Genomic DNA, 16,315 nt, shown 5'->3' on the forward strand with positions numbered 1-16,315 from the left:
ACCCATGGGCCAAAATCTGGCTCACTACTTGTTGTTTTTAAGTAAAGTTTTGTTGAAACATAATCCTGCACGGTAGTTTATGTATTGTTGTCTATACCTTTCATGCTATGAATGCAGAGTTGAGTAGTTGACACTGACCATATGGTCCATTAGACTTAAAATATTTACTCTCTGGTCCTGTACAGAAATATTCATCAATTCCTGTGTATCTGAAGCTTTAGGATGCTTATATTTGTAACTATGATTTGGGCAATGGGAAGTAGTAGAAAACAAACTCTTGCAATCAGAACCCTTTTATTCAACCAATTTCTCTATTGTTTATTAATTGGTTATCAAGTTACCTCTCTGAAATTTAGTTTTTTCTTTATATTGCAAATAATAATATAGTTTTTTTGTGAAGATCAAAATGACATAATATATTCAAGTTTTTTATATACTATAAAGTAATATGCAAATTTGGGGGAAAGGGAAGTCTTATTTGCCTTCAACACATTTACCTGTTCATGGGCATTTGGGTTATTTCCAGTTTTTGGCTATTACGAATAAAGCTGTTGTAAACAATCATACAAGTCTTTTTGTAGACATACATTTTTATTTGTATTGGATAAACACCTAGTTTTGGAATTGCTAAGTCATATAGTAAATATATGTTTAACTTTTTTAGAAACTGCCAAATCATTTTCCAAAGAGGTTATAACATTTTTCACTCCCCCAAGAATGTGAGTTAGGACAATTCTTACTGATTGGTACGTAGTAGTTGATTAGGTTGCCTAAATTTTTTATTCTGGAAAATGGTAGGAATGAATAAACAAACATATATAGAAATATCTAAATAAACATTCACAAATTTCACCAGTGAATCCTGTCACATATAGATAGATATTGATAAGAAATATTTCAGATGAGTGATAAGAATATTGATTCAGAAAGTGATTTTTTTCCCTCAATAGGACATTTAAACACTAGGAGCACTATATATTATGTGGTATACATTATAATTTGATTATTATATATGTTTTAGGGTATATATTAACACTATGTGACACATATTGTATCTAATAATTATGTCTTTAATCCTTTTGCAATTCAATCATTGCTTTTATATTTCAGGTATTAACAGTGTTTGCTTTGATGAGAAATCAAAACATATAACTGCAATGAAATCTTTAGAGGGAGAAGTTGTACCTTTTAAAAATAAAGTTCCTCTATCAAATAATGTAGAGGTAAGCAATTCTTTTTCAAATATGAAAACAAAAAGAATTAACTATATATGAACTTTGTGTCTAAAATAATTTAGTCAATTTAGAGGGTAAAGTTGGTTAATTTAGGTATTTTAGGAAACTCAGCTCATATCTTAAAAATGATTTGTTTTGTTAGTTTCGGAGTATTTTGATATTAAAAAGAATATGGATTTGTAGTCTTTGGAAGGCAGCCTGTAATTATGAAAAGAACCTTGGCCTTGGAGTAAAAAATCTTAGATATTAATCTTAGCTCCACAACTTAATAGCTATGTGACTTACAGTGTTGTTTTTCTAATCAGTAAAATGGTAATCTCAGTACAGGTGGAGTATGTCTTATCCAAAGTATTTGGGACCAGAAGTGTTTCAGATTTCAGATTTTGTTAGATTTTGGACTATTTGCATTATGTCAGTTCAGCATCCCTAATGTGAAAATCCAAAATGCTCCAATAAGTGTTTCCTTTGAGCATCATGTCAACCTCAAAAAGTTTTAGATTTTGGAGGATTTTGGATTTTGGATTTTCGGATTAGGGATGTTCAACCTGTAACTGTTGCAAAGACTTTCAATTAAAAATTAAATGAGATAATTGGCTTTAAGTACACTATTTAGTGCTTGGAACATGGTACTCAATACATTTTAGTTGTCTTTACTCTTTAAAATATGAATTTGTATAAGATGATTTGGGTGAACAAGTAAGCGAACAACTATTGATTAACTGGTTCTGCAGGACTGGAAGTAAACTGATCAAAGGCCTATTATAGGCATATAGCTAAAACTAACTAGCAATAGATTGCATCACATGGAATTGTAACTTTTCAATTTCAAATTATCTTCCACCTGGAAGCCAGGGCCCATGCCTTACCATGTGCATGTCCATACAGCCTAGCAAAATGTTTATTCCTGGTTAGGTTGCAACATTTTATTGGATATTGAGTACATAAATCAGTTGATTGAAAACCTGGGAGATTTGCTAATCATATTTGGTTAAGAGTTTTGTTTTTTTTCCTCTCTTGTAGTTTTGTTGGATATACACAGAGGGACAGAGCTTAAATTTTAGCAACTGGGCTAGAGCAGGTATACCAGCAAAGGAAAAGTTGAAACTCTGGAAGCTTTATGATTGTTAGCAGAGTAGATGTGTCTGTTGCCATGCACTGAGAGGCAGATTCTCACTCTAGCTTCAGTGAATTTTGATGCTATTTTCAATACTGGAGAATGCTCTACAGATTGAAAAAAAAAGCTGGAACACAGAGTTATTTAAGTACGCAATGATGAGAGGCTAAGATTGCAGCTTTTGCCTTTTTATTACAAATGATATATTTTTAAGGTTAAGAAGTGATTCATAAATATTCATTGTTTATCAATCATTGTTATTTTAACTTTTTATTATTTTATATATAATCAAGTGAGTGGAAAAATACATTTTTTTTCACTTTGAAACAAAATTAGTTTTGTTGGATGAAGCAATCTAAGCCCCCAAATAATACATTTCATCCTGATGAAGCAATCCCTTCCTATGGTTACGACTTTATGAATATAAGATCATCAGGATGGCATGAGCCAGGAACTTAGCCAGCCATTTTGACCCTGATTTATTGGCCAAACTATCTGGTTTGATTCATCATAATGATGAAGTGAATGGGTCGACTTTTAAATGCTCATATTATATTGGCTTGTATAGATATAGTCATGGTAGTGTTAGCCACAAATTTATGTTTTCACACTCATCATTATCCTAAGAGGTGAAAAAATTGTTTTATTCAAATTATTTAAACTGTTTATTAAGAAAATAAAGAATTATATTCCTATAACACATTTTAGGAGTGTAATGATCAATAGGAAAGTATAATACCCCGTCTTGAAATAACAGTATAGAGTTAGTAGATTGTATATTTATTTTATGTCTTATATATATTATTTTCCAGTTTATTTTATGTCTTGTTTATATTATTTTCCAATTTCTTTTTCAGACATGGTTGAATGATTTGGCCTTAGAAATGAAGAAAACTTTGGAACAGTTGTTGAAGGAATGTGTTACTACTGGGCGAAGTTCTCAAGGTGCAGTTGACCCATCTCTGTTCCCTTCACAGGTAAGGGGGCTTACGTGTAGAAGCTACATAGGCATGGAACGTGGAAAGATCCCTGACCTAGAAGCCAGGAGGCTCAGATAAATCGCATCTGTTTTCTCCCTTTATCTAACAGTTAACGGACAAATTGCTTAACTTCTGAGTCTCAGTTCCTTCAGCTGTAAAATGTGGGGGATGAATTGAGATCCAAGCAACCTAGGCCAGTGGTGAGTAGGATGGGGAGGAGGGAATCAGGCATCTAATAGCTTCCTGGTTCCAGATGATTAGTTCATCATTGATGGAGAATCACAGGATCTATAACACTGTTGTCCCCTACCCGTCCATCCCTCCCATGGGATCATCTAAGCATTGGAGCTGGCAGGAACTTAGCAGGTATTAGTGTAAATCTGAAATAGTCATAACACTAAACTGTAATATTGACAGTGAGAGTGAGGTCATATGGTGAATTACAGAGATGGCTGCAGCTCAGGGTTAATAGGAGTTCATCCCTGAACACTGGGTACTAGATATTTAGCTTACAAAATTTGTACCAGTCTATATCAAAATGTAGCACTAAGACTTGTGTTAAACATCCTGCGTTGTTTAATAGTTGGGCCAGACTGTTACAGGTGTAGGTCATCAGGAACTTTAGTTCTTAGGGACTGTGGATGGTAGACATTGGGATGTTTCATGATTTCTTACAGAAAAATCTACCCAGCAGCTCTCAAAGTTATTTGCTTTTCAAATAAAAAAAAATGTAGTGGCTATTGGAACAGGTTTTTATGTTGATTTTCTGTAAGTATGGAAGCTTGGAACAGTTTACATTCTGAACCATTTTCTCATACATGCCATTTGTATCTTTTTTCATTTTAAGGCAAACTGAAATGTTTCAAAAAAGCTCAAATTCTTAGAGAAAAATATAAGTAATCATCACTGAATAACCAAAGCCATTGTAGAACCAGAGTAGACTGCTTTATTACCACTGAAAATGTTTCCTAGTACTCTGTCAACTTCCAGATAGGATTTATAAATCAACTTAGAATAAAAGACACAGTATACAAAAAGTCTACAAAAGCAATATTGTATAATATTTGGGTTAGGGAAATGACAATTGTGTTGGGAGATATAGTGGGAGGTAATAGGCTAGAGAAAGTTGTTGGATTTCAGCCTGCAACTTACCTCCAGGCCCTTGAGCAGTCAGGTAAAAGTGTGAACTACTAAAAATGTAAATAGTTCATTATCTACTAAAATAAAGAATTCTAGTTTATTAGCATTTAATGCTAAGAAATATTGATCTCAAGAGTATTTACATAAGGGAATTGAGTAGCATAATTGGCTATTATGTACTGATAATTCAGTTACTTTTTTTATATGGACCTGAAATAATGGTAGAGAGGGTACTTTTTTGGTATGGGAAGGAGGCAGTGTGGTAAAGTAGAAAGAATCTGACTTTGGTTTAAATATTAATCTTTGCTAGTTATCCTGAGTAGAACATTTTGACACTTACATTATTTACATGACCTTCAAGTACCTACGTTATCAAGTCATTTTGAAGGTTATTTCATAATGTTTGCAGAGCACACTTAATTGTCATTACATTTTAGGTAATTCATAATATTAGTTCCTATCCAGCTGTCTTAACAGTAATGCGATTTTATAACCCAGGACTGTAACTTAACTCTAACTTTTGTTAGCCATTCACAGAAATTACACAGCAGACTGTAAAAAATTAAGTTTATTGATATGTATTTATAATATAGAAATTCAGTAGCATTGCCTAGGATTAGGCTTGAAGGTAGCAAAGGAACATTTTTATATGAAAATCAAAGAGCAAAGTATTTTTCTCAAAAGCAGATTTGGTTCTCCATAAATACCTCATCATATACCTGATTAAAGAAACTGATGAGTTTCATACCACAAAGTTTGTTTGGGCGATGAATTTGCTTAGAAATGAGTTACTAGTTGGCTTTCTTTTCCATAAAAGAACCATAATGTAATATTTACAGAATGTTTTAAGTTGCAGTAAGACAGCAGCTTAGCCTGCTCTCATGTGGAGTGCAGTGGTGCGATCTCAGCTCACTGCAACCTCCCCCTCTCAGGCTCAAGCGATTCTCGTGCTTCAGCCTCCTAAGTAGCTAGAATTACAGGCATGTGCCACCATACCTGGCTAATTTTTGTATTTTTCAGTAGAGACGGGGTTTCTCCATGTTAACCAGGCTGGTCTTGAACTCCTGGCCTCAAGTGATCCACCCACCTCAGCCTTCCAAAGTTCTGGGATTACAGGCGTGAGCCACCGCACCCGGCCAAGGCAGATCTTAGTTTAGGAGAATACTGGAATTTTGCTATCGTAGACTTCAGTACTATACTAAGAAATTATTTTGAAATGCTAAAGATTGCCCTTTTATTAATTAGAATGCATCATACTTTGATATCTTTGTAGTTTACTGGTTGAAAAGAAGCCATTTCTGAAGAGAGGGGAAGAAAATACAAAGGCTTTGAGGTTACAATAAACATAGTGGGTTATAGGACCAGAAAAATAGGTTTGTAGTAGAGTATAGTATGAAATGAGTTCTGTGAAGTAGGCTTGGCTGCATCACACAATACTTTTTCTACTACTATATTACTCTATTAATATTTAAGGTTCCAGTATGACATTAAGATGGAGAGATCCAATATACAATTGGCTATTTGAAAAAAGGTGCCTTTCTTTAAATTTATAAAATATTTCTAAGTAAATTCACCTTTTAAAAATAATTTTTCTCTTTATTCAATAGATTTTATGCTTGGCGGAGCAGATTAAATTCACTGAAGATGTAGAAAATGCTATTAAAGATCATAGTCTTCATCAGATTGAAACACAACTGGTGAATAAGTTAGAGCAATATACTAACATTGATACAAGTTCTGAGGATCCAGGGAATACTGGTATGGAAAAGACATTCCCTTTTCTGCCTGGTTTTGGGTTATTTTTTGGTATTCTATCCTAATTTACCTATTGTGTTTTTGACTGTATATCTGTGTTGGTGATTACTCGAGGAATTACAACATATATACTTAAATTTTTATAATGTACTTTGAATCAGTAATTTACTAATTTAAATAGAATATAGAAACCTTACTACCATATAGGCTTCTTTATCCTCTCCTTTTAATATTGTAGTTGTCTTAATATTTTACATTTACATACACTGAAAACTCCATGAGATTATGTTATAAATTTTGCTTTTAACCATCAAAGTTATTTGAAAAAACTCGAGGAGAACAATCTTTTATATATACCTAGATGTTTACCATTTGTTGCCCTTCCTTTATTCCTGATGTTCCAGGTTTCCTTCTGGTGTCATTTTCCTTCTGTCTAAAGAACTTCTTTTAGTGTTTCTTTTGGAGAAGGTGTCCTAACTCTGAATTCACATAGATTTCCTTCATCCAAGAATGTCTTATTTTACCTTTATTTCTGAAGAATTTTTCACTGGCTATCCTGGGTTAACAATTCTTTTCTTTTAGCATTTAAAGTGTTCTACTTCCATCTGAGCTATATGTTTTCTGATGAGGAATCCACAGTCATTTGAGTTGTTATTCTTCTATAAGTAATACATTACTTTTTTTTTCTGGCAGCATTCAAGATTTTCTCATATTCTTTAGTTTTCAGTAGTTTGATTATGATATAGACACATCTTTGCATTTATTCTCTTTGGGGTTGTCTCAGCTTCAATCTGTACATTTGTTTTTCACCAAAATCTGGGAAGCTTTTGGCTCTTATTTCTTCAAACATTCTTCCTGTATTATACTCTTTCTCCTATATTCTGAGTTTCTCATGACATGGATGTTAGACCTTTTGGCATGGGTTTGGATCTCTGAGGCGCTGCCTTTTTTTTTTTTTTTTTTTTTGATTTTTCCTCTTTATTAGCCTGCATAATTTCTACTGCTCTGTCTTCAAGTTCACTGCCTCTTTCCTTTATTATTTCCATTTCAATATTAAGTCCATTCAGTGATTTTCAAAGAATTTTTCAGCTTTAAAATTTCTATTTATTTATATTTTTTATTCCTTTGCTGAGATATTCTGTCTTTCCACTTGTTTCAAAAGTCTTCACCTTTTACTTCTTGTACTTCTTAGAGCACTTTTATAATAGGGCTTTAAAGTATTTTTTTTTTTTGGAGGGCGGGGACAGGTTCTTGCTCTGTTATCCAGGCTGGAGTGCAGTGGTGAGACTGTGGCTCACTGCAGCCTTGACCTCCTGAGCTCAAGCAATTTTCCCACCTCAGCCTCCTGGGTAGCTGAGATTACAGACATGTGTCATCATGGCTGGCTGACTTTTTTATTTTTTGTAGAGACATGGTTTTGCCATGTTGCCCGGGCTGGTTTCAAACTCCTGGGCTCAAGCAGTCCTCCTGCCTCGGCCTCCCAAAGTGGTGGGATTACAGGCATGAGCCTCTTTGCCCGGCAATAATAGTACTTTAAAGTCTTTTGCAGATAACCTCAACAGGTATGTCATCTAGATACTGGTACTTATTATTGTCTTTTCTTATGTGAATTGAGATTTTCTTGGTTCTTTGCATGTTGAATAATTTTGGATGATACCATGGATATTTTGAATATTATGTTATGAGGGTTTGGGTTTTGTTTAAATCCTCTGGAGAACATTGATATTTTTGTTTTAGTAACTGATCCTGTTGGGTTCAGATTCCAAGTTCTAGCCAGCTTTCTGTGGGTTATGGTTCTGGTGTCAGTCTGTTTTCAAATCTTTGCAGTGCTATTTCAGTCTGTCCCACATGTGTTCCCTCGTAGCCAATTCCAGTCTTTGGTTTCTGATTAGAATGAGATCTATTCATGCACCACACCTTGGGAATGAGTCCAGGAGTTCCTAAAGAAGTTTATGGGGTTATTTTTTCAATCTCCTTCTTCTCCATGATCTTCCCAGCATTTTATGGTTCCCTCAGCCTTCTGTTTTGTTTCTCTGGCCAGAAAGCTGGGGTTCATGTACTTTATTTTCTTGCACACTTTTGTGCAATTTGGGTTTACCTACTCTCTTGGGATCACAGCTCCTCTGGAGTTTTAGGGACTTCTGGGTCCCAGCTGCCAGTGGGATAGCTAGCAGAAGACCCCTTTCCTTCTAAAGCCTGAGCTAGAGGTGGTTTTCTAGAGATCTGTCTACACCAGTTTCGGTTTCTGGCTGCATTGGGTATGGCCCTAGCGTTGCCAGAAGGGGGGAAAAATACAATGGTAAATCCACCACTGGTTTGGTGTCTCTTCTAATTCTGGTCTTCCTCAACCTGCCTGCTACTCTTTTCAGAGTTCTAAATAGCAGTTCAATGTATGTTGTCCAACAGGTTTTTATGCCTGCATTCAGAGGGAGAAGCAGAGTGGAGTCTGCTTACTCCCTTGAATAAGGAACTGAAACTCTTTTCTCTTGGAATTTTGATATCTTAATTTTTATACTCAAAATTCTTATTTTTTACTTACTGGTAGATTTGACTTTTTTAGCTTATGTGATTTGTATTACTATACCATTCATATGTGTCATGAAATTACCATTTAAATTCATGGAGAAATCACCTGTACACGTAATCATAAATTATATAAATCACAGGCTAACATTTTCTCCAATTGTCAATATTTTTATTTCTGCCTAGAATCGGGCATCCTGGAGCTTAAACTTAAAGCCCTAATTCTTGACATTATCCATAATATTGATGTGGTAAAGCAGTTAAACCAAATTCAGGTTCATACAACTGAAGACTGGGCTTGGAAAAAACAACTTAGATTCTATATGAAAAGTGATCATACATGTTGTGTTCAAATGGTGGATTCTGAATTTCAGTATACTTATGAATATCAGGTATGAGTTGTGGCAGTGTTTTATATTTCCAATTAGAAATTATTTACTGTAAAGAAAATTTGTTATTGGTAGAAATACTTTTTTATTTAAGTAGTAATTTTTCCATAATATTTTTAGTATTATTGTCTTGTTTAATCAGAATTAGAAAGGTGTCACATAAGAAAAAAGTGAAACTTCATTCTATATACAAAAAAGTTAAAATATTGCTAGTATTGTACTGAATTCTCAAAAATGTACCTTTTCTTGGAGTTGCATTTATATACAATTTGAAATATATCTTCATCCAAGGAGAACTGAATATAGACAACCTCAGTCAAAGCAATTTGGTTTGTGTCTCCTTATACAAGGCAAAAATTAGTGTTATTTTAAATATGCTAAAATGTTTGCTAAATATTTTTTAGTTTGTAAGATGAAAAAATTTTCAGACAAATAACCTAGTTAATGTAAACATGTTCTCAAAAATTCCACCTGTTGCCTCTGCCTTTTTCTATCATAATGAATGAATCATCAAAATATATTTGAAAATATTGTTAATAAACCTATGTTAGGAGAGCTGCCAAATGGCTTTTTCAAAAGGGAAATGTATTTGGGACCCAAATCTATCTACCTCAATTGAGGAAAAACACACTGTAAATTGTAGCTGGAATGGGAGTCTGTTTTCCCTACAGTTTAGTAGAAACTTTGAGAATTATTTGATAAATTACATGATTAATTTCTTAAGGAATTTTTCAAATTCATTACACTTTGTGATCTCCAAAATAGTTCTGATTTGTGGATATCATAAGAGTCAAGGAAATAGTTTATATAAATTTTAAAATATGAAATGGGATGATTACTGTATAATAATTTTGGATTTCTTTTCCTTAGAAGTATATCTTTGTGCCATTAACAAGAACTTGAGAAACAATTTTGAAACCTAACAATGTATTGAGTATAGTATGAAATACTTTCTTGAAAAATAAGTTTGATTTCAGCTTGTGTTTAGAAAGCTTCTTTCACTAGAAAAAATTTTGGATATTTTTCTGTGTTAAAAACTTTAACCTGTTTGTTGCATTTTTATCTTTTTAACTACAATCTCATGCTGTAAAAATATTTGTAAATGTTGAATAGAACATGAATACTCTGACTTTGTGTTGTTCTTGTATAGGGTAATGCTTCCAAACTGGTTTATACTCCACTGACAGACAAGTGCTACTTAACTCTCACTCAAGCCATGAAGATGGGACTTGGAGGAAATCCTTATGGACCAGCTGGAACTGGGAAAACGGAATCAGTAAAGGCTTTAGGTGGACTTCTTGGAAGACAAGTTTTAGTCTTTAATTGTGATGAGGTAGAATAAATAATTATCAAAATATGTAACAATGGGTTAATCATATTTAGATTAGTTTCTATTAGTATATGAAATACTCTACTTAAAAATCACTACATTTAAATTAGTTGAAGACAGAATTTGTTTAAATTGAAATGTAAAATGGACAGAGGTTGTACGTAGTATAGTCCAAAACTTTTCTAAGAATTATGGCAAAGAAATAATTTTAAATACAGAATGAAGATTTATATTACATTGAAGAAAAATGTTTTTAGTAAAGAGAATAATACAAAAGGAAAAATCTTCTGTTCATTTCAGATGACAGTTTTAAAAACATTTTGTATGTAATTTGTATTTTGACTTAAAGAGTAACTAACACAAATCTTGTATTTTTTCTGCAAGCTTTTTAGAACACTTTCACATGCATTATTTTGTTTATCCCTTGAAATCAACCTGGGTTTTGAAAGAGTAGCTACTTAATCCGTATTTTAAAATGAGCAAAAGAGGCATAGATGGGATAAATTATCACCTTATCAATAAGTAACATTAAATATTAAGTAGTTATGGAGATTTTGATTATTTTTTAATGACTATAATTTTTATTGTTGTTTTTAAGGGCATCGATGTGAAGTCAATGGGACGAATATTTGTTGGTTTGGTGAAGTGTGGGGCCTGGGGTTGTTTTGATGAATTTAATAGGCTGGAAGAATCTGTACTGTCAGCAGTTTCTATGCAAATCCAGACAATTCAAGATGCTTTGAAGAATCATAGAACTGTATGTGAACTGCTTGGCAAGGAGGTATAGAATATGTTGGGAATTTAAAGAATTAAAATATTTTGTAAGACTTGATATTACTCATACTTAAGCAATATTCTCTTTTTATTTCTCCTGACATCCGTGTTTCTAATCTGTAACCTGTGTTGTAAGATTTTTTTAGCTATAAAACGTTTCTGAGGTTTCTTACCCTTTTTTGGTCCTACTTTCATTATTCTTTTTTTTTGGGGGACAGAGTTTTGCTCTTGTTGCCCAGGCTGGAGTGCAGTGGTGTGATCTTGGCTCACTGCCACCTCTGCCTCCCAGGTTCAAGCGATTCTCCTGCCTTAGCCTCCTGAATAGCTGGGATTACAGGTGCCCGCCACCACGCCCAGCTAATTTTTGTATTTTTAGTAGAGATAGGGTTTGATCATGTTGGCTAGGCTGGTATTGAACTCCTGACCTCAGGTGATCCACCCCCCTCGGCCTCCCAAAATGCTGGGATTACTGGTGTGAGCCCCACACCCAGCCCATTATTCATTTTTAAACTTTCCATTTTGGATAATTCAGTTATAATAATATTTATATTGTTGTATTATATATTATTCTATTGTCTGTGCTGACATTGTTCACAGTGCCTTAATGTATTGTCTCATTTAATAATTACCACAACCCTTTGAAGTAGGTGCTATTATTTTTTTCCCTGCTTTGTGGCTGAAGAAACTAGGACTTGATAAGTAAGAGTAAGAAGTGGAGCTAGGAATTGAACCCAGGTCTGTCTAATTCTGAAGCACATTTTTTTTTGTTTAACCTTCAAGCATAGGAGCAGAATGAAGCACATGTTTTTGATCATTATTCTATATGAATGTTAAAACAACAAACACTTAGCTATTTTGTTCCTCACTTCTCCAAATAGGAGATATACATTAATGTCACTAGAATATAAATTCGTTTGTACAGAAAACGTAAACTTTTTTATATAATGTGGATTGCTGAATACAGGAAGTTGTAAGAACTAAGAAATTATCATGTTATATAAAATAACATTTTAACAGTACATAGTTTTCTAGGTAGCCCAAGAATGTAAGACCAGTTCTAAATTGTTAACATGTTGTTTATGTGATGTTTAAACTCTTCACAAAGAAAAAGAGAAGAAACTATTAAGTGAGAATTACCTGCCTTCAAGATTTAGTTTCTTCTACATTCACTTTTTTTTCTTCTCTTACAAAGAAAGAGTTGTCTTTTCTCCCAACCAGTACTAATCTTTTCACCTGTACTTTGGAATCCTCTTCCCTGGGACCTTATTATCCCTTGTGCTATAGCTTCAGTCTTCCCTCCTCTACCAATTCCTCATTAGGTTTTAAACATAATCACATCTTTTTCATCTTAATAATAACTAAAACATAAACAAACCTTCCCTGATTTATATTTCTTCTTTCTCTTTTCTTTCCTTTGTAGCTAGATTTCTTGGTTTTTCTACTCTAGATGCTTCTACTTACTAATTGCCCATTCATTATTTACACATTCTAATTTAGCTTCTATTCTTAGGGTTTTGCTGAAAATCCTCCTACTAAGTGCTGTTATCACATTCAGTTCTTCCCTGTCATAATATTTATTACACTATGATTGCCTCTCTGTAATACCAGATAGACTCTGAGCTCCAGAGTGGCTTAAAGTATTATTTAGTTCAGTTGTCTCTGTGTACTTAACAAAGTGTTTAGTACTAAGAAGGCTTTTAGTAAACATATATTTAATGTATAAATAGATAATGAAATTAGTATCTCTTAAACATTCAGCCTCAAAAAACTGATTGTAAATAAACTCTGCAAAGCAGTGTAGGTCTTAAGGAATTTATCATATATTGAGTAAGGAGATGGTTAGTACATTGGAGGTTACCTTTACCTAAGGTATAAGATTTATGTGTAGTAATATGTCACAATAAAATTCTGTTGGCAGCATATTTTATGTTTATAGTTTCAAATATAAACGATGCCTATATGTTAAATATTTTAACTTAATATTTAATATTTAAATTAATATTTTTAATTAATATTTCAGGTAGAAGTAAATTCTAATTCTGGAATTTTTATCACTATGAATCCTGCTGGAAAAGGTTATGGAGGAAGACAAAAACTGCCTGATAATCTTAAACAGCTTTTCAGGCCCGTAGCTATGTCTCATCCAGACAATGAGCTTATTGCAGAAGTTATTCTCTATTCGGAAGGCTTTAAAGACGCTAAAGTATTGAGCAGAAAATTGGTAGCTATTTTCAATCTATCTAGGTGAGTTTTCTTGTTCTAAATATTTTTATATTTTACATTTCTAATGATTGATTTTGGTTATTAGTGATCATTTTCATATTTTCTCAATTCACCTATTGCATGATTTTTATTCTGATGATTTTATTGTACTTATAGTGTAGCTATGAAAGGCTTTAGCATGCACATAAAAATATTGGTTCAAAACTACTTGCTTTTCTTAAATATTATTAATTTGATCAGTTTTTTTTCTTCAAAATGTTTATATTAGAGTGCTTCAGCTAAATGATTCTTACTGAACTAATTTATCAGCTGACCACTCACAAACTACTGTTCTTTGGAAAGAATCCTTCACAATTTTTCTTATGTCTTATTTCTAGTAATAGAAACTGACATTTAGCTTCTTTGGGACAATGTACAATTCTCTTCCATATCACTTAAGAGATAATGGTGAACTAGACAGTGTCAGAGATTGAGAGCAAGATGGATTGATTAAAGGCTTTAGGCATTAGGGTAACAGGTAATTGTCATTTGGTGTCTTCATTAAGATAATTAGCTTGTTCATAAAAGCTTTATCCTACCCTTGAGAACCGTCCATCTTTAACAGCTTACTTGAATGATTATTTTGTGTGGTTGCTTCCCTTATATAAATTAATGGGATATCAACATTCATTTCTATGTGTCAGTGTTATATTCTGTATTTCTTTGGATGTTATGATGAAAGTAATTTCTTCTAGCTATTTGATGTGTTGATTTCCATGTCTCTATTTCAGGGAACTTTTGACACCTCAGCAACATTATGATTGGGGTTTGAGAGCTTTGAAGACAGTTCTGAGAGGAAGTGGAAATCTCCTTAGACAGCTAAACAAAAGTGGCACTACACAGAATGGTATGATTGATTATTCCAAATACATTAACTTATTTTTAAAAACATAAGCGTTAATTTAGAATAGTTTGAGATTTACAGAAAAGTTGTAGATACAATATTAAGGATTACTGTATACCCTGCCCCAATTTCTACTGTTGTTAACATCTTTCATTAGTGTGGTATATTTGTCACAACTAATGAATCAACTTTGATACATTGTTTTTAAACTAAATTTCCTACTTTATTCAGGTTTTCTCCAGTTTTTACCTGACGTCTTATAACTTTTAATGTGTGTTAAATATTAAATAGTTGTAATATGTAAAGTCCACTTGTTCTTTAACTTCAATGTCCATTGGAATCACCCAGTGGCTTGTTAAAACAGATTATTAGACCCCACCCCCAAAGGTCCTGATTCAGTAGGTGTAGAGTAGAGCCTGATAATTTGTCTTGTCTTGAAACAAGAACAGAAACCTTAGAAACACATGTAGGATTTTCTCTTTCTAAAGCTAGTATATTATGATTAGACTAGGTTATAAATGTTTGGAAAGAATACCGCAGAGGTGGAGTGTCTTTCTTACTGCGTCATATCAGTGGGTATATAACAACCATATGACATCACTAGTTATGTTAACCTTCATCACCTGGCTATGGTAGTGTTGCCAGGTTTCTCCAATGTGAAGTTATTTTCTACCCTCCTGGCTTTATTCTTTGGAATCATGTTAATAAATCTAGCTTACTCTCAGAGTGGCAAGGAAAGGATTAAGCTCCACTCCTTGCGGGGTTTGGGGGGGTGGGGTGGGGTGGGGGGTAGTATCTTCATATATTATTTGAAATTCTTCTGTAATGAAGATTTATCTTTTCTGCCTCATTTATGTATTCATTAACTCATTTATTTAGCTCAATACAGACTCATATATATGTGCTATACTTTCCTCATATAAAAAAATGGTTTTTTATTCACATAAAAATAATGATTTCCCCCACCTGTGGAGGTATACGTTCATGAAAGGCTGAATAATCAGTTTCTTCAGGTTGCTATTGAAAACTAAGTTAAAACACTATGAAAGTAGAGACAACATAGAAAAAAGGACCACATGAAATTACCTCTTTGGACTTTAAATGATCAAAGTGTGTCTCTTAAAAATGGCATCTACATTAGCTGTATTATTAGGTTGGCGTATGCCTGGGTAGATATAGTTATTTTGTGAGTGTTTATGTTACTATTTTTTAATTGTCTATATTTGGTGATTTTTAAGAAATATTTAAACCATACCTGTAATAAGTAAAGATGGCTTATGAGTTCAGTGCTTGAAATAAGCTTTAGAGAAGTCCAGACTTTTTATGTGTACTTAAGCATGGAAATATTAAGCAATTATAGAGGAAATGCCAGGCAAATAGTTTCTTTGACTTTATGTATCTTACCAATCAGCAGCTAATATCTGTGAAAATAAGAGTCTGGCAGTGGTATCAGTATTTGCATTTGGCTTAAGAATGGGTTTGTGAACCAAATTTGAACAAGGCTGATCAAAGATTGTTGCGCAGTTTGTTAGTTGTTTATCTTAGGACATAAACTGTGAGACGATATTGGTATATTTGGAGAGGCACCTGAATTTAGAATTAGTTTATCTGGAATTGAATCTTAGCTGTAATATTGCTGTGCCTTTTCTGAAAGTCACTTAAACCTTCAGAGACTTAACATTCTCATGTGTAAAATTGGAATAACAATAGTAATACTTTTTAACCTACTTTATAGGGTTGTTAAAAGGATTACATCATATAATATAAAAGGTGAAGTACTATGCAAATATTAGTGATAATGATTTTTATTATTAATTAAAGTCTTGGTACCCTGTGATCTGAATTCTATGGGAAAGAGTTTATAACTGTACTTAGTGATATTTACTTTTTAGCAGTCAAAAGATATTAAAGTAAGCTTGCCAATTCATGTGATGTAATGTCTTTAAATGTTACTAAATTCTAGTGCATT

At 33.1% G+C, this 16,315-nt stretch overlaps 1 protein-coding gene across 6 annotated transcripts in view; it reads left to right on the plus strand.

Annotated features, from left to right (window-relative positions):
- DYNC2H1 (dynein cytoplasmic 2 heavy chain 1) overlaps positions 1 to 16,315 on the plus strand; it is a 370,438-nt gene that overhangs the window by 50,396 nt on the left and 303,727 nt on the right. For all 6 annotated transcript variants that reach the window (NM_001080463.2, NM_001377.3, XM_017018291.2 and 3 more), the window contains 8 exons: positions 1,111 to 1,223; positions 3,207 to 3,326; positions 6,077 to 6,227; positions 8,934 to 9,139; positions 10,287 to 10,469; positions 11,065 to 11,247; positions 13,261 to 13,484; positions 14,234 to 14,349. In NM_001080463.2, coding sequence (NP_001073932.1) covers positions 1,111 to 1,223; positions 3,207 to 3,326; positions 6,077 to 6,227; positions 8,934 to 9,139; positions 10,287 to 10,469; positions 11,065 to 11,247; positions 13,261 to 13,484; positions 14,234 to 14,349 — 1,296 coding nt within the window. The remainder of the gene's footprint in view (positions 1 to 1,110; positions 1,224 to 3,206; positions 3,327 to 6,076; positions 6,228 to 8,933; positions 9,140 to 10,286; positions 10,470 to 11,064; positions 11,248 to 13,260; positions 13,485 to 14,233; positions 14,350 to 16,315) is intronic.

This window comes from Homo sapiens, chromosome 11, assembly GCF_000001405.40.
Source record: "Homo sapiens chromosome 11, GRCh38.p14 Primary Assembly".
Taxonomy (NCBI): domain Eukaryota; kingdom Metazoa; phylum Chordata; class Mammalia; order Primates; family Hominidae; genus Homo; species Homo sapiens.